The 20741-nt window shown below is 55.1% G+C and overlaps 1 long non-coding RNA gene across 1 annotated transcript, besides 8 other annotated features; it reads right to left on the reverse strand.

Moving 5' to 3' along the window:
* Positions 8454 to 8503: an enhancer, noted in NCBI's record as "active region_18153". NCBI's record gives its function as "activates an Ori minimal core promoter by ATAC-STARR-seq in GM12878 lymphoblastoid cells {active_cell/tissue: GM12878}" and the evidence as "EXISTENCE:reporter gene assay evidence [ECO:0000049][PMID:35858748]".
* Positions 9365 to 9444: an enhancer, noted in NCBI's record as "active region_18154". NCBI's record gives its function as "activates an Ori minimal core promoter by ATAC-STARR-seq in GM12878 lymphoblastoid cells {active_cell/tissue: GM12878}" and the evidence as "EXISTENCE:reporter gene assay evidence [ECO:0000049][PMID:35858748]".
* On the reverse strand, positions 10374 to 15359 carry LOC124904939 (uncharacterized). Its single transcript, XR_007067672.1, has 2 exons — positions 15146 to 15359; positions 10374 to 10862 (listed from the first exon to the last, which is right to left on the reverse strand). It is a non-coding gene; the product is annotated as an uncharacterized LOC124904939 (long non-coding RNA).
* Positions 11578 to 11637: an enhancer, noted in NCBI's record as "active region_18155". NCBI's record gives its function as "activates an Ori minimal core promoter by ATAC-STARR-seq in GM12878 lymphoblastoid cells {active_cell/tissue: GM12878}" and the evidence as "EXISTENCE:reporter gene assay evidence [ECO:0000049][PMID:35858748]".
* Positions 13268 to 13499: a silencer, noted in NCBI's record as "fragment chr20:56012611-56012842 (GRCh37/hg19 assembly coordinates)". NCBI's record gives its function as "represses an EF-1alpha promoter that drives an FKBP-Casp9 reporter gene in an ReSE screen in K562 erythroleukemia cells {active_cell/tissue: K562}" and the evidence as "EXISTENCE:reporter gene assay evidence [ECO:0000049][PMID:32094911]".
* Positions 14866 to 15367: an enhancer, noted in NCBI's record as "H3K4me1 hESC enhancer chr20:56014209-56014710 (GRCh37/hg19 assembly coordinates)". NCBI's record gives its function as "activates a minimal SCP1, AML or CMV promoter by ChIP-STARR-seq in naive H9 embryonic stem cells {active_cell/tissue: H9 hESC(naive)}" and the evidence as "EXISTENCE:reporter gene assay evidence [ECO:0000049][PMID:30033119]".
* Positions 15367 to 19950: an enhancer, noted in NCBI's record as "VISTA enhancer hs1971". NCBI's record gives its function as "enhancer in: heart[10/10]" and the evidence as "EXISTENCE:transgenic organism evidence [ECO:0001131][PMID:17130149]".
* Positions 15368 to 15867: an enhancer, noted in NCBI's record as "H3K4me1 hESC enhancer chr20:56014711-56015210 (GRCh37/hg19 assembly coordinates)". NCBI's record gives its function as "activates a minimal SCP1, AML or CMV promoter by ChIP-STARR-seq in naive H9 embryonic stem cells {active_cell/tissue: H9 hESC(naive)}" and the evidence as "EXISTENCE:reporter gene assay evidence [ECO:0000049][PMID:30033119]".
* Positions 16902 to 17761: an enhancer, noted in NCBI's record as "H3K27ac-H3K4me1 hESC enhancer chr20:56016245-56017104 (GRCh37/hg19 assembly coordinates)". NCBI's record gives its function as "activates a minimal SCP1, AML or CMV promoter by ChIP-STARR-seq in naive H9 embryonic stem cells {active_cell/tissue: H9 hESC(naive)}" and the evidence as "EXISTENCE:reporter gene assay evidence [ECO:0000049][PMID:30033119]".

A 20741-nucleotide genomic window follows, 5' to 3' on the forward strand; every position in this document is an offset into this window, starting at 1 on the left:
TTTATAACCTTAATCACATCTGCAAAGTTCTTTTGCCATATGACTTATTTACGAGTTCCAGAGATTAGGACATGGATGTCTTGGGGTCATTATTCTGTCCACCCCAGCAGTTTGACTTGGGGTTTCTGTCATTTGGTAGGGAACCCGGGAACAGCTCCACCTGGACTGGCTGACCCTTCCTGGAGAATGGTTGGACTGGATTGGCTCATGCGGCTATAAAGTTCTGGCAGGAATGACTGAATCCAGCAGCTTAGACACTGTTATAAGGACTTATATTCTCACCATTCTCAGCCAGTGTTGGTTCTGTGCCAAGGCTCTACAGGTGCCCCTGGCTTTCCCACTCTGGGTTAGTCCACAGGAAAGAAAATATAACTTGCTTCCATTGGCCCCTAAAACAAATTTAACCCTTTTTATCATGCAGGGCAGTCTTTTTGTTTTTTTGTTTTGTTTTGTTTTGTTTTGTTTTGTTTTTTTGAGACGGAGTCTTGCTGTGTCGCGCAGGCTGGAGTGCAGTGGCGCCATCTCAGCTCACTGCAGGCTCTGCCACCCAGGTTCACATCATTCTCCTGCCTCAGCCTCCCGAGTAGCTGGGACTACAGGCGCCGCCACCACGCCCGGCTAATTTTTTGTATTTTTAGTAGAGACAGGGTTTCACCGTGTTAGCCAGGCTGGTCTACAATCTCCTGACCTCGTGATCCACCCATCTCAGCCTCCCAAAGTGCTGAGATTACAGGCGTGAGCCACCGCGCCTGGCCTATTTTTTTTGTTCTAAAACTCTCCATCCTGGGTTGGACTCTGGCTCTCCCTTTGATAAGCCTCATAACCACTCAATATTTCCCCCCTAAATGACAGTGCATTAAGCCCCAAAGAGTCTCCTTTTGTTCTTTCCACAAATGACACCTGAGCTGCTCCTCTGGGGGTGGGGGGAAGCAGCAGGGAAGCAGTGAGAAGCTGGGCGTGGCTACTGTCCTCTGGGAACTCACTGCTCAGCACTGAGTTACAGAGTGTGAGGAGGGCTGTGAAGGAAACGGGCAGGTAGGATACTGGAGGGTCAGGAGGGGCCAGGTGGGAGGCAGGGCCAGCAGAGCCTGGGGAGAGGTCCCACAGTAAGGCACAGGGGAAGAGCATTGCGGAGGAGGTGGTGGCCTGTGCAAATGCCTGGAGGTTGGACATGCTCGGCTACGCTGAGGAACTGCAGGGAGGCCGGGAGGGCAGGAGCGTGGTCAGGGAGTGGAGGCTGAGGCTGCCAGCTGGGGAGGGGCCCAGATGGGGCCGCATGACTTCATATCCTCCCACCCTCTTACAACACAGACACTGCTGGCGGCTTTGGAGTGGCAACTCTCTGGGGGTTGGAAACAGGGGTCCTGACTCCTGGCAACTTCCTCCCCTCCCCCAGCACAGCTGCACTTGACACGGAGACCATCCTAGCGTGACTTCCAGTCTCACTTGCACCCAGTCTTCCACAGAGTACTTGAGACCTCCCCGGATCTCCCCCCTAGCACCCGGGCGCTGCAGACTGCCTCCACCACACCCTGCGCCCTTCCGCTCCCAGAGGAGGGGGAGCACCATTGTTCTTGGTGGAGAAGTGGGTGCTGGGATGGTTGGCTTCGTGAGAAGGGGGAGGACAGATAGGTCCCACTGAGATGGACTCCATATCCCCTGCTTTGCACCCTAGCCTCTGAGCTATCCAGCCTTCAGACATCAGCTTCCTGCTGCTAATGGTGGTGGCATTTCAATTTTTATTTTTTAGAACGGGGTCTCGCTATATTGCCCAGGCAGGTTTTGAACTCCTGGGCCCAAGCTGTTTTCCCGCCTCTGCCTCCCTAAGAGCTGGGATTACAGGCATGAGCCCCCTTGCCTGGCCCGGTGGTGGCATTTCAACACAGAGAATGAGCCCAGCTTCAATTCCCTAGGTATTGATAGGATCCAGGAGACTGTCGTGGAAAGTCTCCCTCCCATCCTGTCCCTTCCAATTCTCTTCTCCCGAGGCGTGCAGCACCTCCAGCTGGGGACACTGAGGTCTGCACAGATGGATGTTTACTCTTCCCCGCTTCGAGCACAGGCCATTTGCTCTGCACGGCACCTGTCTCTTTCCCACTAAATGCATCTTGACCAGGCCCCTTAGCACACACGGGGCTTGCTCTTTCTTTGCCGTCAGCTGCGTGCTATCTGTGGCGTGCATGGGGCAGGTGGGGTGGGCGTTCCCATCCCCAGCGATGGAGGCAGGAGCTCTTTCAGGCTCACCTGGAACACAGTCACATGTGCTGGTCTGTCGGCATCACCTCAGCAGTGAGCCCATCTGTGGGCCGTCATTTCATCTGCACCTTCCTCCTTAGTCCTCCCACAGCACCCCCAGGAGGGCATGGTGGGATGCAGAGACACTGGATCTCAGGCCACACTTTCCTGAATTTTTCCCCAAATTCAGTGACCCAGCAGGACCTGTGCCTCCTGACGTGGTTTCACTGTTATTTCTAGAGTCTCCCAAGGGGGATCCCCTAGGCCTCCAAACCAGCCTCAGAAGCCACTGTGGGTCCTCGGAAGTCACCGTGGGTCCTTGGAAGCCACTGTGTGTCTTCCCTGCCCTCTTCCCACTATGCTCTCACTCGCCTGTGCCTGCTACCCCAAGGCTCTGGAGAAGGCTGCCTGGGGCCCCCATCCCAGGACACCAGTGTCCACACCAAGGTCTCTACCTGCAGGCAGCTGCAGAGCTCTGGCCCCTGGGAAGGTCGGGGAAGGGAGCCTCCTTCCAGTGTGCAGTCCTGAGCCACCTCCCCGGGTCCCTACTGACCATCACAGCACCCACCTCACTGCTACCCACCCCACAGCAAGGCCTCCACGGCATGAATGGAGACAGTGGGCCTGTGGGGGAGGGGGTTAGAAACAGCGTCATCTGTTCCAGCAGGAGCTGGTCATGCTGCAGGGTGGGCGCCTCTGACAACTTCACCAGCCCCAACCTCTCCCTCTAAACACATTCATTCAACCAATCTTTCCCCATTTACTTATTGAACACCAACCAAATACAAGGTCCTGGTGAGAAGACAAAGATATAAGTCATTTAGCTGGGCATCATGGTGCATGCCTGCAGTCCTAGCTACTCGGGAGGCCGAGGCAGGAGGATCACTTGAGCCCAGGAGTTCCAGGCTGCAGTGAGCTATGATTGCACCACCGCACTCTAACCTGGGTGACAGAGCGAGACCTTGTCTCTTAAAAATAAAAAAGCCATGTAAGTAATCTCTGGAATAATGTTTAACTTCAGTCTGATAAATGCCACAGTGAAGTGCTGAGCCTGCCCAGGCAGCGTCCCTGCCTCAGGCCCTTTGCACGTGCAGTTCCCTCAGCCTGAATGTTCTTCCCTTAGGTGTCCACACGGCTCACCTCTTACCTCCTGCAGGTCTCTTCATCTCACTGGCTGCTTGGTTCAAGTTGCAGCCCCTCTCCCCGGCCTGCTTGACTTTTCACCATAGCCCTTGTCACTCCTCCTGGCCTTTGCTTGCTCTAGGTGCTGCTCACTTGTTGCTTGTGTGTCATTTATGTGTGTGTGGATTGCCGGTCCCCCCAAGGAATGTGAATCCAGGTGGCAGGCATTCTGTCTGTCTTATTTGCAGCTCTTTCCCCAGTACCTAGGCAAGTCCCCAATACATAATAGCTGCTCAGTAAATAGCTGCTGAATGAATGAACCGCCTTAAGGCATGTGACCTGTTCAGTGATTCAGCAGCTCAGGAGGAAGATGTCAGGGGACATTTTCCCACCACTGGGGACAGACTCAGGTTTTTGTTTTTTTAGTTTAGTTTGTTTTTTTTTGTTTTGTTTTTTTTTTTTTTTTTTGAGACGGAGTCTTGCTCTGTTACCCAGGCTGGAGTGCAGTGGCACAATCTCAGCTCACTGCAACCTCCACCTCCCGGGTTCAAGTGATTCTTGTGCCTCAGTCTCCCAAGTAGCTGGGATTACAGGCACCCACCAGCACAGCAGCTAATTTCTTTTTTTTTCTTTTTTTTTTTTTTGTATTTTTAGTAGAGGCAAGATTTCTCCATGTTGGCGAGGCTAGTCTCAAACTCCTGACCTCAAGTGATCCACCCGCCTCGGCCTCCCCAAAGTGCTGGGATTATAGGCGTGAGCCACTGCGCCTGGCCCAGGCTCAGGTTTTTCAAAGCCTGAAATTATGTCAATTTTGGACACAATCTTTAAGAAAAAGAGATACAGTTACATGTACAGAATTAGGGCCAGGGCCTTTCCCCTAAGCTAAAACTTGGACAGCCTCAGGGTGAACCCCATGTGAGCTAACACTGAAAGAAAGACTGGCGCTGATGACAGGAACCTTCTTCCAGGCAGGGGGAACAGCCGCGGAAAAGCTTCGAGGTGGCAAAGAGCCGGGAGAGTTCTGTGTGACTGCAGCTTGGCAGGGGATCCAGGAGAGGCTGGAGGCCCAACAGGCCGGACCAGGAAGTGCCAGGTATGACATAATGTGGCCTTGGTCTCTCAGGAGTCCAGAGGGCAAGCCTGGCGAGATGACCCTTGGGTTCCAGCAGGACTGAGCCCTCTGCCAGCCAACGTTTTCCTATTCATTCCAGTGGCCCCAGCCCTCCCTGTCGGCTGCCAGGAATGTGTCACTCCTGCTTCGGGGTCCCTGCTGCCCCCTGCCCCACTCAGAAAGATCCCTTGGGGCTGGTTGGGGAGGCAGCCTCCCCCTCCTCCTCTCCCTGAGCTCTGCTCAGAATAAAAGCTCCCGGGGTCCTGGCTGAGGATGCTGTGCCCTCGCCCATCCGTGGCCACTGCCAGCCATTTGCATCACAAATGAGGCACAGTCGTGCCGTTGGGCACCAGCCTGGTGCTACCCTCGGTGACTCAAGGACACAGGCCAGGATCCAGCTGCTGAACGTGCTGCCTTGCCCCACCCCCAGCCGCCTAAACTGTGTCGCTGGGGAAGGATGCCCCGGTCCCCAGCCTGCCTGGGATCCTCCTGGCCTGGGCAGCTCTCCCCACCAGCCAGGAGAGCAACCATCGTCGGGGTGATAAACCCAACGCTGGGCAAGGAGCGCTCTGCATGTCAGGTGGGAACTCAGCACTTGGCAGACATTCTCTCTGTTAGCTTTCACGGCAGCCTGCTTTACAGAGGAGGAAACTGAGGCTCAGAGAGGGTGAGTGACGTACCCATGGCCGCTCAGCTACTCAGCTATACTCAGTAGAACTGGGGCTTGAACTCATGTCATTCTACTCTAGAAACTGTGCTGTGAGCACCGGCTGTCCCTTCCAAGGCCATCCGTGCTTACCCTGGGCATGCAATAGCTGTGCTCTGGATGAATAAAAGTGACCAATAGCTGCGCACTAGGTGAATATAAGTGACCAAGAGCTGTGCATTGGATGAATATAAGTGACCAATAGCTGTGTGCTGGATGAATATAAGTGACCAATAGCTGTGCACTGGATGAATATAAGTGACCAATAGCTGTGTACTGGATGAACAAGTGACCAATAGCTGTGTGCTGGGTGAGCGAGTGACCAATAGCTGTGCTCTGGTTGAATAAAATTGACCAATAGCTACGCACTGGATGAATAAAAGTGACCAATAGCTGTGCTCTGGATGAATATAAGTGACCAGTAGCTGTGCTATGGATGAATATAAGTGACCAGTAGCTGTGCTATGGATGAATATAAGTGACCAATAGCTGTGCCCTGGATGAATAAAAGTGACCAATAGCTGTGTGCTGGATGAGCAACAGTGACACAGAACGAGAAGTGAGAAGTGGAGGGAGTCGGACGGAGAGAGGCAAAGGTGGAGTAGTCAGCGTGACTCAGAGGCAGTCACTCCAACAGAACATGAAAGAAAAGCAGAAATGCAGGCAAGAGAGAATGAGGGAGACAGGCAGGAGAGAGAGTGACACTGAGGTGAACAGAGAGGGGCCTGGGGACAGGGTCTCCTTCTGGGGTGACGGAAATGTTATGGAGTTAGATCATGGTGACAGTTGCACAACTTTGCATACACACTAAAACCCACTAAATTGTGTACTTTTGTTGATTGATTTGTTTTAGAGATGGGGTCTTGCTCCGTTGCCCAGGCTGGAGTGCAGTGGTGTGATCATGGCTTGCTGCAGCCTCAAACTCCTGCGTTCAAGCTATCCCTCAGCCTCCCAAGTAGCTGGTGACCACAGACACTCACCACCATGCCTGGCTAATTTTTTTTTGAGTTGGAGTCTGGCTTTGTTGCCCAGGCTGGAATGCAATGGTGCAATCTCAGCTCACCACAACCTCTGCCTCCTGGGTTCAAGCGTTTCTCCTGCCTCAGCCTCCCAAGTAGCTGGGACTGCAGGCACATGCCACCATGCCCGGCTAATTTTTTGTATTTTTAGTAGAGATGGGGTTTCACTATGTTGGCCAGGCTAGTCTCGAACTCCTGACCTCGTGATCCACCTGCCTCAGCCTCCCAAAGTGCTGGGATTACAGGCATGAGCCACCGCGCCCGGCCGCCTGGCTAATTTTTTAAAAACGTTTTTTTTTTCTCGAGACGGGGTCTCCCTATGTCACCCAGGCTGGTCTCAAACTCCTGGGCTCAAGTGATCCTCCTGCCTCAGCCTCCCAAAGAGCTGGCATAAGCCACTGTGCCTGGCCTAATTTACAAACTTAAAAGAGCAAATTTTGTGGAATATGAATTACATACTATTTTAAAACACAAGAGGACATCAGGCAAACCCGAACTGAGGCACACTTTGCAAAATACGTAATACTCTTCACTATGTCAAGGTCACAAAAGACAAAGAAAGCCCAGGGAAAGGCCCCTGGGTGGTTGCAGTGTGACGTGAGATCCTGGAGCAGAAAGTGGACATCAGGAAGAAGCTGTGAGTCCTGAACGTGACCTATGGTCTGATTCATATTATTGCATCGGCCGGGCACAGTGGCTCACGCCTGTAATCCCAGCACTTTGGGAGGCCGAGGCAGGTGGATCATCTGAAGCCAGGAGTTCAAGATCAGCCTGGCCAACATAGTAACACCCCGTCTCTACTGAAAATACAAAAAATTAGGCAGGCGTGGTGGCACGTGCCTGTAATCCCAGCTACTCGGGAAGCTGAGGCAGGAGAATCACTTGAACCTGGGAGGTGAAGGCTGCAGTGAGATGAGATTGCACCACTGCACTCCAGCCTGGGTGACAAAGCAAGACTTGGTCTCAAAAAAAAAAAAAAAATTATTGCATCAATGTGAATGCCTTAGTGTTGCTGATTGTCCTGTGGTTTTGTAAAATGCTAATAGGAAAGAAGCTGGGTGAAGGGCGTATGGGAACTCTCTGCACTTACTCTCTTTGCACCTTTTCTTTCTTTCTGGAGATGGTGGTCCTGGCTTGCCAGGGTCAAGCTCAGGGCTTGAGTGGGATTACAGGCATAAGCCACGGCGCCTGGCCTCACCTGCCTATTTATGATTACAGCAATTTGCAGGACCATAGTTTTGTGTGCACCAGTGAAACAGCTCACATGAGAATGATCTGCGCTGTGCACAGTGCTTCGATTTTGTGTTTTCCACTGATGACATGTTGAGGTCCAGGGAGGAGGGGTATAGGTGAGGCCCATTCTTGGAAGAGCAGCCCCCACCCACCCCAGGGCTCAGCCCTGTCACACCCGTCCCCCGAGGACTGGCATTTGGGCATCATCACCTTTTTACTACTTTCATCACCTTCTTCAAACGGGCCATCCGTGGAACTGCAGCAGGGCAGCGGGTCGGGGGTGGGGGAAGCGTGGGCCTGGGCTGGGGGTGGGCTTGGGGGCTGTGCACTGCTCTGTAGGCTCCCCGAGGCTCCTCTGATAGAAATCATCCTATCAGGATGCATGATCCAGGACAGTCACGCAGGGCTCAGAAGCCAGGACAGTCACTCAGGGCTCAGAAGCCAGGACAGTCACGCAGGGCTCGGAAGGGCCCTGCTCAGGGTTTCCTGCTCTGCTGTTACCATCTTGAAATTCTTCTTTCTTTTTTTTTTTCTGAGACAGAGTTCTCACTCTGTCACCCATGGGCATGATCTCCACTCACTGCAAACTCCGCCTCCCAGGTTCAAGTGATTCTCCTGTCTCAGCCTCCTGAGTAGCTGGGATTACAGGCGTGCACCACATTCCTGGCTAATTTTTGTATTTTTAGTAGAGACAGGGTCTCACCATGTTGGTCAGGCTGGTCTTGAACTCCTGACCTCAAGCGATCCGCCTGCCTCGGCCTCCTAAAGTGCTGGGATTATAGGCATGAGCCACTGCGCCCAGCCCATCTTGAAATTCCTGGTAATGTTTCAACAAGGGGCTCTGCGTTCATTTTGTCAAACTTCATGTGGACATCTGACAACAGCGAGCACCTTCGGAGCCCTGGTCATGTGCCAGCTCTGCCCTAGGCCAGCCACACACACTGCCTCCTTGAATCCTACTAGCCGTTCTGTTACAGGCATGGTCATCATCAACCCATTCTGCAGATAGGGAAACTGAGACTCAGAGAGCTCCTGATTCAGGCAATACCAGGTAACATCAGCTTTGAAAATCAAATCTGGCCAATCCCTTTTTTTTCAAACTGAGACCCAGAGCGGCTAGAGTTGGCTCAGGGACACGCAGCCCCTGTGTCTCACTGCAGGGTTCCCAGCCATTCCCCAGGGAGGAACAAGAGACCATCTGCCCCCCGGGTGCTTTCTCCGGGCCTTTTTGGAAGGCCCCATTGGCTGGGTTCATTTTGCCACATTTCCTTTCTTCCTGGCTGGTGGGGAGGACTGTCTCAATGAGGGGTGAACAAACCCCGGTTTTAATCAGAGCAGCCACTTCCTCTCACCAGAGAAGAAACCCGCCCTCTCACAACCCACTTTCTATATTTAGACCCAGGGCCTCGCCTTGAGCTGGGCCAGGGCTGGGTGTGGCGGGGCCTGCGGCTGCTTCCGGCTCTCGGGAAGGAAGTTTCCACCTGTTTCCCAAGAGCCAGAGACACGAAGCCTGCAGGTCCTAGGCTGAGTGCAGGATTCTTGAGCCCACAGGGGCCCATAGGACAGTAGTTCCAGCCTCCCCCTCTGCAGCTCCACAGCCATGTGGGGGACAAGGCCCATTTCCAGGACAAGAGAAGCCCACTCCCATTTCATTCATTCCTTCAGGGACCTGGTGTTTTCTGGGTGCCTCCCACAACCCAGGTGCCGTTCTAGACTCTGGGGATACGGCAGGGAACAAGACAGGCCCCTGCCTTCACGGAGCTGACAGTCTAATGGGAATGACAGAAGTAAATACAATAAAAATAAACTAATAAAACAGAAACCGGATATAACTAAGGAAAGGTAATGAAGGCATAAATCAGGCAGATGGACCAAGAGGCGTAGTAGAGTGGGCAACACCAGGGGCGGGGTCCCAGGGCCTCTGCAGGCCCCTGGGGTGTGGAAGGGCCTGGAATGCAGCGACAGACTGAACAGGGCTTAAGGCAGAGAGGACAGAGCGTGCTGATGTCACAGCCAGGGCTCTTGTGCCTGGTGTGGGAGCCAGTCAAGCTGGAGACAGGGGTGAGGTCAGGCCCTGCAGGGCCCGGGCACTAAGGCAGAGGTGTGGATCTCAAATACCAAGAGAAACCACCCAGCGCTTTTGAACCTAGCGTGACATGCATCACGAGCTGTGTGGTTTTTTTAAAGCTCACCCCTACTGTGATGTCAAGAAAGGGAGGCAAGGGGCCAGGGGAGGGAGTCCAGGCCAGTTGGAGGGGGTCCAGGCCAGCATGAAGGGGGTTCAGGCCAGTGTTGAGAGGGTCTAGGCCAGTGTAGAGGGGGTCCAGGCCAGCGTGGAGGGGTGGTACCCCAATAGTCTAGGGCACTGGCTCTCCACTGGGGCCATTCTGCTCCTCAGGGGATGTTGGGCAATGTCTAGAGACATTTTTTCTTGTCATAGTGGTGGTGTGCTACAGGCACCTGATAGGCAGAGGCCAGGGGTGCTGCCAAGCATCCTGCCATGTCCCCACAGCGGAGAAAGATCTGGCCCCAAATGTCAAAGGGGTGGCGGTTGAGAAAGCCCGGCCTAGCGGGAGGAGGTGGTGGCGAGCAGGGCGACAGTGGTGGAGGAAAGTGATGTGCCCCGTTCTGGGATCCAGGGTGCATGGAGCATGGATGAGGAGTCACTTGGCATTCTGCTCTGAGTATTTAAGAGTGACCCATGAGAGCTGTAAACTCAAGTCTCAAGTGTGGGTGACCTCCAACACCCAGGCAAGGGTTCGCCTAGCATGAGCTCCGCTGCCGAGCGCAGTGTCTGCAGGACTATTCTGCACACATCTTTGGCAGTGCCCCCATGTGGTGGCAAGATGCCCCGGCATCAGTGACCTTCGGCAGTCAACCCCCAGCAGTGGGTTAAGGAAGACTTCGGTGTCCTTGGAAGATTGAAAACGAGAGAGGACTCGAGAAGGGGGTTCTGGGCTTCTTGCTAATAGAGAATCTGGGTACCTGAGTGATTAAGGAGCAAAGGGACACAGTCATCTGGGGATCATAAATTGATGGAGTGGCTTATTCTGACTTCATTAGGAGTTCCCAGGAGAGCCAGGGAAAGGGGAGGAGGATTGCTGGGTTCAGGAAAGGCACCTGTCACACGCGTGCCTCACTGACTTGCTCGTTGCTCCAAGAACATAGTCAATGCTCCCTCTTCTTTGCATCTCCAGCTTCAGTGCTCTTCAGTTTGTCAGGCGCCTGCAGTCCCAACCCTGGGAGAGCACTCCTCAGCTGGCAGGCTCCAAAATACCCAGGACGAGGGGAAGGCAGGAATGGCGTGGATGGGGCGGGAGGCTTTCCCCATCTCCCCCAGCTTCAAGCCCTTGTCTCCCCTTCCTACTTAGAAGATGCTTCCAATGTGGGCCTGCCAGCTCCAGCTGACAGCACCAGGCACTGTCCCAGACACCACCTGAAAAACAATCAAAGGCAGTGAACAAACCATGAATCCCTCAGGAAATACAGACAGTTAAACAGTACACGGAGGAATGCACAGCCTTGCTGATCGAATGAGAAAAAAAAATCGATAAAACAAGCCCAGTGCTGCAAAGGATGCGGGGAAAATAACACATCCCTTTGCTGTAAACAGATTCCGATTTTGAAGATGCTTCTGTCTGCATGGAAAAAGCCCCACGCAGCTGCCTGACCCCCCGACCTCGAATATTATCTTGAGGCGGGGTTCTGCATCTGAGGAAATAACCCTCAGCAGGAAAAGCGTTCACAGCAACCTTATTTAAACTGAGAGGTGGAAAAAAGAAAACAACCCAGACGTCCCTTGCTCACACTTGTGGAGCGCTCACACTACGCGAGGTGCCGGACACGCATTAGCTCTTTGATCCTTTCCACTGCTCTGTGAGTTGTGGTTTATGAACCTCCCATTTTACAATAAGCAGGGGACACAACAGAGGCCAGCCCTCCCTCCACAGCCGCTCAGGGGCTCAGAGCTGAGGCACCTCAGCGCCACCTGGAGCTTGGGTTCCCCTCCCTCCAAGCTGTTTCTTAGCAACATGAGGCAACCTTGTCTGCGAAAGAGGAGGTGACCGCAGCTCCTGGGGATGTGCCAACTCTGGGATGTGACGGGAAGACAAAGGGCTTCTGTCCCCTTCTGCCTGGCGGTAAGAGAGCCGGCCGCCCGGCAGGCATGCCCCAGCCTGTGGTTCTGGAATGCGGGCAAGCCACCGTCCCCAGAGACCTGTGTTGGTGGCCAGGCCAGCCCACACACCCGATTGGCACATACTCTTGTGCTTGCCCAGGAGCGGAGTCAGACCATTCACGCTGCCTTCATGGGAGTTGAACAGTTGAACTGATGCCCTTAAACCCAGTGTTTCCCTCTGGGAAGACGCCCGGGGGCCTCGTGGTTGTAGGTGCTGGAAGGATAGCTCCAGCTCCAGGCACCTGCCACATAAAGGTAGTTGTGAAATTTCGGACATGCTCTTGGCACAGGGCAGAGGTTGGGGATCTCTTGCCTGTGCGGAGAGGACAAGGGGACAAGGGGACGTGCCTGAGGCTGGTGTGGGTGTTGATGTGACCTCTGCTCTTGGGGTCCAGTCTCCCCAACTCTGGCTGGCCTGGATGAGTGTGCCAGAAATGGGACTCTGGCCATCGCAGTCCACTGGGTGCCCTGTGTGGTAGGCACAGTGTCCAGGGGAATAGCTGTTTGTCTCCAATGATTGTTCTCTTCTTCTCGGCTGAGCTGGGGGCTCATGTGTCTTTAATACTGGCCAACTCCTGCTTACCCCCCGCTCCATCTGAGAGAGCAGGCCCCAGGCTCCTGGCGTGTGCAGGTGGCAGTTTACGAACACACTGTGACAGCATCTGAAATCCTGGTCAATACTAAACACGACTGATGGCCACTGTGCTTATTTTCAGAGTCATCTGCAAAGCAAGTGATACTGGTTTTCCATTTACATTGGTGCAACAGAATTTCCTTTTAAAATAGACATTTATTTATTTATTGTATTTACTTTTTTGAGACAGGGTCTCACTCTGTCCCCCAGGTTGGGGTACAGTGGTGCAGTCTTGGTTCACTGCAACCTCCACCTCCTGGGTTCAAGTGATCCTCCAGCCTCAGCCTCCCAAGTAGTTGGGACTACAGGCATGTGCCACCATGCCAAGCTAATTTTTGTATTTTTGGTAGAGATGGGGTTTCACCATGTTGACCAGGCTGGTCTCGAACTCCTAACCTCAAGTGATCCATAGGCCTCGGCCTCCCAAAGGGCTAAAATAAACATTTAAGTAAAAAAAAAAAGAAAAAAATCTGAGTCATTTTAAAGAAAAGTATGAAACAAATGGTAGACCAGATGAGATGGTCAAGGTCACAGAGGGAGCCTCAGAATGCATGAAGTTTGGGAACCCTGGGCAAGGGCCCTCCTTAGCCCCTGGCAAGGTCACTCCGGATGGTGTGGGTCTTACCAGCCTCTCCTCATCCTGGCCTTGTTTTAGTCGCCAGGGCCTGGGTGGCAGATTCTTGAGTCTCTGGGATCTTTGCCCTCCCCTCTGCTTCTCCCTCTTTCTCTCCTTGTTCCTCCTTCTCCTTCTTCACTGATCAAGCTCAAGAAGCACCCAGCAGGTCCACCGCAGACCCCTCCCATCCCATCTTGCTTTGAGGCTTTCCTCATGGGACAGGGTTGGCCTGTCCTGATTGTGGAGTCTCCACTTCCCCACTCAACCCCGCTTGCATCTTCCTTCATCTGCCCAGTGCACCGAGGCTGCCCATCAGAGTCACCTGAGGGGCTCTTAGGAGATGCCCCGGCCTAACCGCCTGCCAGTTGAGTCAGAATCCCTGGTGGAGGGACATCCTAACAACTCTCTCCTTCAAGGAGCCTGGCCTGACGGGAGGAGTGTTTCCCTGTCCCTGTCGCCCAGGGGTTCATTTTCGGGCGGATGAACAATGGCTGCAGAGCATAGAAGCCCAGCTCCACTTCCCTGAAGGACCCAGGTTCCTTCCACATTTCTGCTCGGTCACCCTCAGTGTGGTGTCTTTCAGTTGCTTCATGGTCACGAAGTGGCTGCGGCTGCTCAGAGGCTCCTGACATCACAGCAGCTGCACCAGCAGGACAGCAGGGAGAGGGCTTGCATCTCAGTGGCTAAAACTGGGTCACATGGCTGCCGCCAGCTGCAAGGAGGCTGAAAGGCAAGTCTCGGGCAGAGGGCAGTGGGATGCCTATGATTAGGCCAGTCCTGATTCATCCCTAGGGCTAGGCATGTGGCTGGCCCAACAGAACTGCTATTTTGGTAGCAAAGGAAGAAATAAGAAACAGCTTTTGAGAGTGCAGCCAAGAGTAAGTGTGACAAGGAAACATAAATATCATGTGCCGGCTGGGCGCGGTGGCTCGCGCCTGTAATCCCAGCACTTTGGGTCGAGGAGCGCGTGGATCACTTGAGGTCAGGAAATTTAGACCAGCATGGCCAACACAGTGAAACCCCATCTCTACTAAAATACAATAATTAGCCATGCGTGATGGCAGGTGCCTGTAATCCTAGCTTCTCGGGAGGCTGAGGCAGGAACCCGGGAGGTGGAGGTTTCAGTGAGTCGAGATCATGCCACAGCACTCCAGTCTGGGCAACAGAGCGAGATTCCATCTCAAAAAAAAAAAAACAAAATCTATGTGCCTCCCACTGACAGATATTCATTTTTTTGTTGGCATCCCCTACACTCAGAATATACATTCTAGGTGGGAATTTTTGTCTGTTTTGTTCTCTGCTGTATCTTCAAGATCTACAACCGTGTCTGGCACCGTGTAGATGCCTAATAAGTATTTGTGGAGTAAATGGCCAACCCTACGACGTGGGTACCCCTGTTAGCCCTGCTTTCTAGTTGTGAAACAGGCCCAGAAAGGTTCGGCAACTTGCTGGGGACACAGGGACCTCTAGCTGATGCAGCCTAGAGTTGAGCCCTTGGGGAGCTGGCCCCAGAGCTGGTGCACTCCGCCCTGCAGAGCCCTGCCTCTCCTGCTGGGCTGGGAGCCGAAGCTGGTGGTTCTAGGCTCAAATTCTTGCTCTACGGTGACCAGCTGTGTGACCCAGGGCAGTCTCCATCTCTCTGGGATTTGCTCCTTGTCTGCACAGAGAAACAAGCCTTTCCTCTTAAGGGTGCCTGTGCATTCCAGGAGGCGGTCATAAGCACAGCTCTTAACAGAGTCTGGCACCCAGCAGCTTCCTGGCTATTGCTGGCTATTGTTGCTCTCCCATATTATAGGGGGGGCAACCAAGAAGCAACCAGAAGATGTTCAATGTCACAGAGCCTGTGGGTTCAAAGGCAGGCCTATGTGAGTCTCCTGCTGGAGGAAGAGCTCTCCTGGTGTGGCCAGTACCTGGGCCTGCTCCTGCGCTCCTCCGGCTTCCCTAGCTGCCCTCTGCCCACCTCCCGCCCCCCTGCCCTGCTCTCCTAACCCCCCAGCCTCCTGCCCTGCCCCACACCCCCCCACCTCCCTAACCCCCTGACCCCTCTGTCCTGCCCCCCACCCCCGACCCCTGTGCCCTGCGCCCCCACACCCCCACCCTCCTACCCCCTGACCCCTCTGCCATGCCCCTTCAGCCCCCCTGCCCTGCCCTCCCACCCCCCCTCCTCCTGCACTGCCCCTCCCACCCCCCATCCCCCTGACCCCTCTGCCGTGCCACCCCACTCCCCCACCCTCCCACCCCCGACCCCTCTGCCCTGCACCCCCAGCTCGGCCCTGCCTTTGTCCTGCTTACCCCCTAGCAGAAGGTGTTGCCCAGGCACTGGCAGGAGGTGGGGCCAGGCCGCACACTGGGCACTAGTTGCTATTTGCCTTCCTCTCCATGGCCCCGCCTGGTGTGGGCAGAGGTGGCATGGGGCCAGGCGGGTGGTGGGGAGGGCACCTGGCTGTCCTCTCTTCTCTCCCTGAGCTCCTGGTGGTGCTGGCCAGCAACTAGTTTGCCCAGAATTGAGGGCTTTCCTGGGAAGCCTGACTTTCAGTTCTAAAACTGGGAAGGTCCCGGGCAAAGCTGGGTGAGTTGGTCACCATGGCAGCAGAAAACCTGAGCGGGATGGGGGTGGGGCAGTAGAAGGGACAGCAGGGAGTCAGGGCCAGGATCAGCCACCCGGGACAATGTGCTGCCCCTCCAGCACCAGACAGAACCGAGGGAGGATCCCTGTCCCCCTCCCACATCACTGATTCTGGGAGCCTTAGTTTCCATTTTGGTAAACTGATGCTAGAGATTCCCCGCCTCACAGGGATGAGGGATGGGGAACTGGGTGAGGAAATGAGCATAGAGCACTTAGCAGATGCAGACATGTGATTCATGGGGGATCACATTATTAGGTCTCCGGCTTCAAACCCAGCTTCCCGCTGCTCAGAATAAAATGTGACACCCCACAGACCCTGGAAGCACCTGCGATCTCAGACCGAATCTCCCCAACTCCACTGCTCACTCTGCTCCAGCCCTGTGGGCCTCCTGGCTGCCTGAGATTGGGCCAGGCCTCGCCCTACCCCAGGGCCTTTGCACACGCTGTTTCCTCTGCCTGGAGCACCATGCTCTTCCCCCTCTCATCTTTGGGCCTCAGCTTCAAGGTCACTACACAGAGAGGCCTTCTTTGTCCCTCTTATTTGAAGGAATATCTGTCTCCTTGGGGAACAGTCATCTCTTGGCCGGTTGAGTGGCTGCCCTGGGCCTGGTATGGTGCCCCACCCAGATCAAAGCTCAGGATGTGGTCGTGGAGTGGAAGAATAAATGAATATTGACCTGTGGAGGTCCCAATGGGCTGGAGAAAGAGCCCAGTGTCTTAAATCTCTTTCCTCCTCTGAGCCTCGATTTCCTCATCTGTCAGCAGGCATGAGAGGAGCATCTGAGTCCTTGGTCTCTGTGAGGCATGAATGAGGGGACAGAGATGAAGTCTGTTCAGTGCACTTGGCCAGCAGCAGGACTCGGGGCCTGGCAGCTCCCCTGATGGCACCCTGGGGGCACTCCTCCCCACTGTTTCCTCCCTGAGGCCTGAGGACCCCATGGGCGGTGGGTGCTGCTCCACGCTCCACACAGACCAGGAAGCCAAGCTTGGGGCCACCCCCACTGCCTTCTCCCGGGCACCACTGCCCACGGCTGGCCTCTCCTCAGGCCACAGGTCTGGCCTGGCTGCCCGAACTCTCAGCCTGGAGGCAGCTGAAGCGTCACATGCCCTTGGCCAGCCGTCTCCGGGGGGGCGGGTTCCCCTCGGGAGACTTCAGCACATTGTCAAAGCTGTCAAACAATTTCCCTGCCAGGTTTTTGCAGGAATCCAAGGCCTCGCTCCCAATGCCAAACACCCTCTTAAGACGATATCTCCGGGGCCTGCAGGCCTGCTCAGCGGCGCTGCCTCTCCTCGGCCTTATATAGTCAAAAGCCGGGGAATCCCTGTCCCACCCTGGGCTGGGATCTGATGGAAGCTGCCACAGCCTTGGCCTGACCCCGGGATCTCCCGCCTCCAAATCGGCCATCTCTGGCCAAGGGGCCGGGTGAGAGGCCTGGCATGCGCACAGGCCTGCGCGGGGCTCTGGGTGTCCCATCAGCTGGCAGCTGGAGCGGCCAGGCCAGCACAGGCTCTTACCAAATAAGGCCTGGGCAGCTGGGCTTGGCCAGGCTCAGACGGCGGCAGCTGGGCCAGCAGTAGCAGGCCTGCCTGTCTCCTCCTCCCGCACTGCCCTGCCTGCCCAGCAAAGACTCTGCAGACTGTGGTCCCCTCGACTCAAGGGAGAGCTCCACCCTAAGAAGCCTGGGTAGACGGTCCCGGATCCCCTGCCAGACGCGCTGCCATGAGGAACCTCTGGCAAATTTCCATTGGGAACCTTGAGGGAAGGCAAGGTGGAGAAACATTCCTAGGACTCCCGCTGCTGCAACGGGAGCCCCGAGCCAGGCCAAGAAATGACCTGTCCCTCCCCCAGGACCCCGCTCCCACTCCTGCATCCCCCAGGGTGTTCCGATTTGGATGTTGCTTGTCCCACCAGTCAGCCCCTTCCTGGTGCCTGGTCTTTGGGGCCAAAGGGCAAGGCTGGCCAAGCGGTTTGGGAAGCGGGCCCGGGCTCAGGAGCACACTGAGGGCCCTTGGGCAGTGACCTGCCCTCCAACTGTGGCTATGATGAGGAAGGCGCATGCGTGCTGGTTGAGGAGGGAAGACCCCCATGACCATGAGCCAGTGTGGGCAGAGGAATGGGCAGGGGGAGGGGCAGGGGGCAGGTCCTCCCTTAGGAGCCACTACGGGGCATGAGGCTCCTGTGTCTGCTCGCCTTGGTTCCAGCCAGCAGCTTTGGCTCTTGGAGCCTCAGTTTTGCTATCCTTAAAATGGGTGTGATACAAACGCTATCTCAGGGTGGCAGCGGGAGTTCAAGGGGACAAGATGCACACCTCTCAGGGCCCTGCAGGGAGTTCCTGGAAGATTGACAGCAGGGCGAGGGAGGGATCTCTCCTTTCCTCGGAGATGGGGGAGGCAAGGGCTCTCTTTCTGTCCCTGACACCCCCTCCTCAGCTCCTCCTGCCCTCCCTGCTGTCTCATTATCTTAGGTGTGATGGGGGCATGGTGAGGCCTCCCAGCCACTCCCAGTGCTGGAAGTGCAGGCGTGGGGTGACCAGCTATTGCACATGTGACTGCATGGCTGTGTGTGTACGCATGTCCCTCCCAACCCCTATTAGCACAACCATGGGAACGTGACCGTGCAGCCCAACAGCCAGGGCGCGGGATACTCGAGAGGGTGGCCCCGGCCTGGGGATGTCTGTGGTTCTGCTGCTGCTCATTTCTGAAGCCCCTTCATGAGTTCTGGGACTCCTGGGGGGATGGGGCCCACTTATGAGTCCCTCAGAGGCATTCAGTGCAAAGTAAAAATGTGGCCCCCCCTCCAAACGTTCAAAAACGACGAAGACTTTTAAGACGACAACAGCAGAGCATTAAACCAACAGGCGGCCCTTCTGAGTGTGAGGGTCCCTCTGCGACTGCACAGGTCACACCCCATGCAGCCGGCCCTGTCCCCTCTGCCCCTCTGCAGCTCAGGTGGGCGGGGCCTGACCACTCCAGCCTGGTCACTCCAGCCTGGCCTTAGACTCTGAGGTGAGTGGTGCCAGGACCTGCCGGTCAGCCTGGATTCATCATAGCCTCTGTTGTCCAGTAGGCTTGGCAAGAAGGGTCTGTGGAAGTTTATAAAAGTGACACCCCCCAGCCCCCAACCTGGGGAGCAGCCAGGAGCCCTATGTCAGAATGTGCGGCCCCTAATGAAAGTGCTCTTCCAGCCACTCTATTTAAGCCAGGTGAGTTTGTTCTCAGGGACTGGAGGCCGGCAAGGTAATGCAGCTGTTTTTAGCGTTTTAGCAGGAGGCAGGTGCTGGCCAGGACGCCTGTGACGCTGTGGGTGACGATGGCCATGACCCGGACACATACAGGTTGGGCAACCTGGGCAGAGCTGGTGTGCCTGGAGGTGGGGCGGGGGGGGTGCCTGGAAGACTGGTGTGGCCTGGATGTCCTGAGAGCGCCAGAACCTCTCCTTGGGGCTCCCTGGGTGGCTACCACCTTTGACTCTTGCCCTAGGGGCACACACTGCCACCTTTCCAGAAAGTTCTCTGGGATCTACAGAAACTGACCACCCATCCAGGTGCTTGAACGTGTCAACTGGTAACTTGCAGCTGTTCTGTTGGAACCTCTGAGATTCCAAGCAGAATTGCTCAGAACCTTCCGGATGCCCCACATGACATCCGCTCCCTCAGGGATAGACAGGGTTCGGCTGCTCATCGGGGTCTCCCAGAGCCTGGAACAGCGCTGTCCTAGAAGCCGTGAACAACCATCCTGCAAAGCTGGAGAAGCAGGGCATTTCCCCGCTGACACGCTCAGGACCAGGAGCTGGTGTGCGTCAAAGTCAGCACCAAGGCCGGTCCATGGCCTGTGAAATACTCGTCCCTCAAGATTGCATTTCAATGGAAAGACTGGCATTTCCCATTCATTCACCTATTTTTTGATGGAGGAAAAAGGTCTTTCTGAGTGGGGTGGGGTGCTCTGCTGCTTGGGGTGGTCCCCTCATCTTCCTTGCATAACCCACATCTCCAGTGTATCTTGTGCCTTTGCAGTTTCTCTTTCTTTGAAATGGAAGAGAGAAAGAATATGCTCCCAGAGACGGTAACTGGAGAGCTTCGGAGCAGACTTTTATACTCTAAAGTAAACTTGTCCTTTTCATTAATTAACTAACAGAGATTTATTTGGTGTGGACCTCACGCCACAGCCTGTGCTGGATGCTGAGAACAGAGGAAAAATGAGCCCAGGGAAATTGTGCCTGAGTGCAGCTAGGTCAGTTTTCTGTTTTACAAATGCAGGAACCAAGGCTCAGAGAGGGTGTGTGAATCACCTAAGGCCACACAGCGCCTGTGTGACAGGCTTTGGCCTGTAAGGGGAAAGCCGGCTAGAAGAGATGAGAAAATGGGGTGTCATTCACCAGCAAAACTGGGTTCAAATCCGCCTCTGGGACCTTGGGTAGGACCGGCCTGCCAAACACAAATGCATATCTGATTGTTCCCCTACCCCATTTTGTCTGTGTTATCTTATGTAAAATGCAGATTCCCCCATCCTTCCTTTATCCCTTTTGTTTATGTGGGTCCCCTCAAGCTTTAAGGGCTGTGCTCTGCTATAAGCTAGCCAACTTCTTGGAGCCTCAGTTTCTCATTTGTCAATGGGAACAATTACTGCTGGTTCCTGCGGTCACTCAGCAAATATTTGTTAAGCACCTACTAGGTGCCATGCAGCATTGTAGGCACTGGGATATAGCTGTGAGCCAAACACCCAGCACAGGGCTGATGTGGGAGCTGATGGGGTGGTGCAGCGGGCCTGGTCTGGGCTCCCTCAGCGAGCCAGGCCCAGGGCGCCCCAGGGCAACAGGGCTGCACTGCAGGTAGACTCAGCTTGGCAGATCCCTGGCCCTGGGGGCCGTCACATGGGGGCCAGGCCAGGGGCGTGTGGGAGCGGAAAGAGGATGGAGGGCAGGAAGGAGGGAGAAAGAGGGAGAAGAGAGGAGGGCACTCTCCTCATCCCCATCCTTCTCCAAAGAAGAAATGACGGCATCGTGCTCTCACCGACTCATCGTCCTAGTAGGTCCTTAGGACACCCAGCAAGCCAGACCTCCGTGTGACAGATGAGGAAACTGAGGCTCAAGGGTGACGTCACTTGCCTAGGATCACAGAATTCCCGAGGGGGATCTAGGCAGTCTCCCTCCACAGCCCAGTCTCTTCCCTTCGGACGCAATAAAAAAAGAGGGAAGGGGAGAGAATGATGGAAGGGGGGAGGAGGGAGGGGCAGCAGGAGGTGTGGGAAGCAGGAGGGGGAAGA

The sequence above is a fragment of the Homo sapiens genome, chromosome 20, assembly GCF_000001405.40.
Source record: "Homo sapiens chromosome 20, GRCh38.p14 Primary Assembly".
In the NCBI taxonomy this organism is placed as follows: domain Eukaryota; kingdom Metazoa; phylum Chordata; class Mammalia; order Primates; family Hominidae; genus Homo; species Homo sapiens.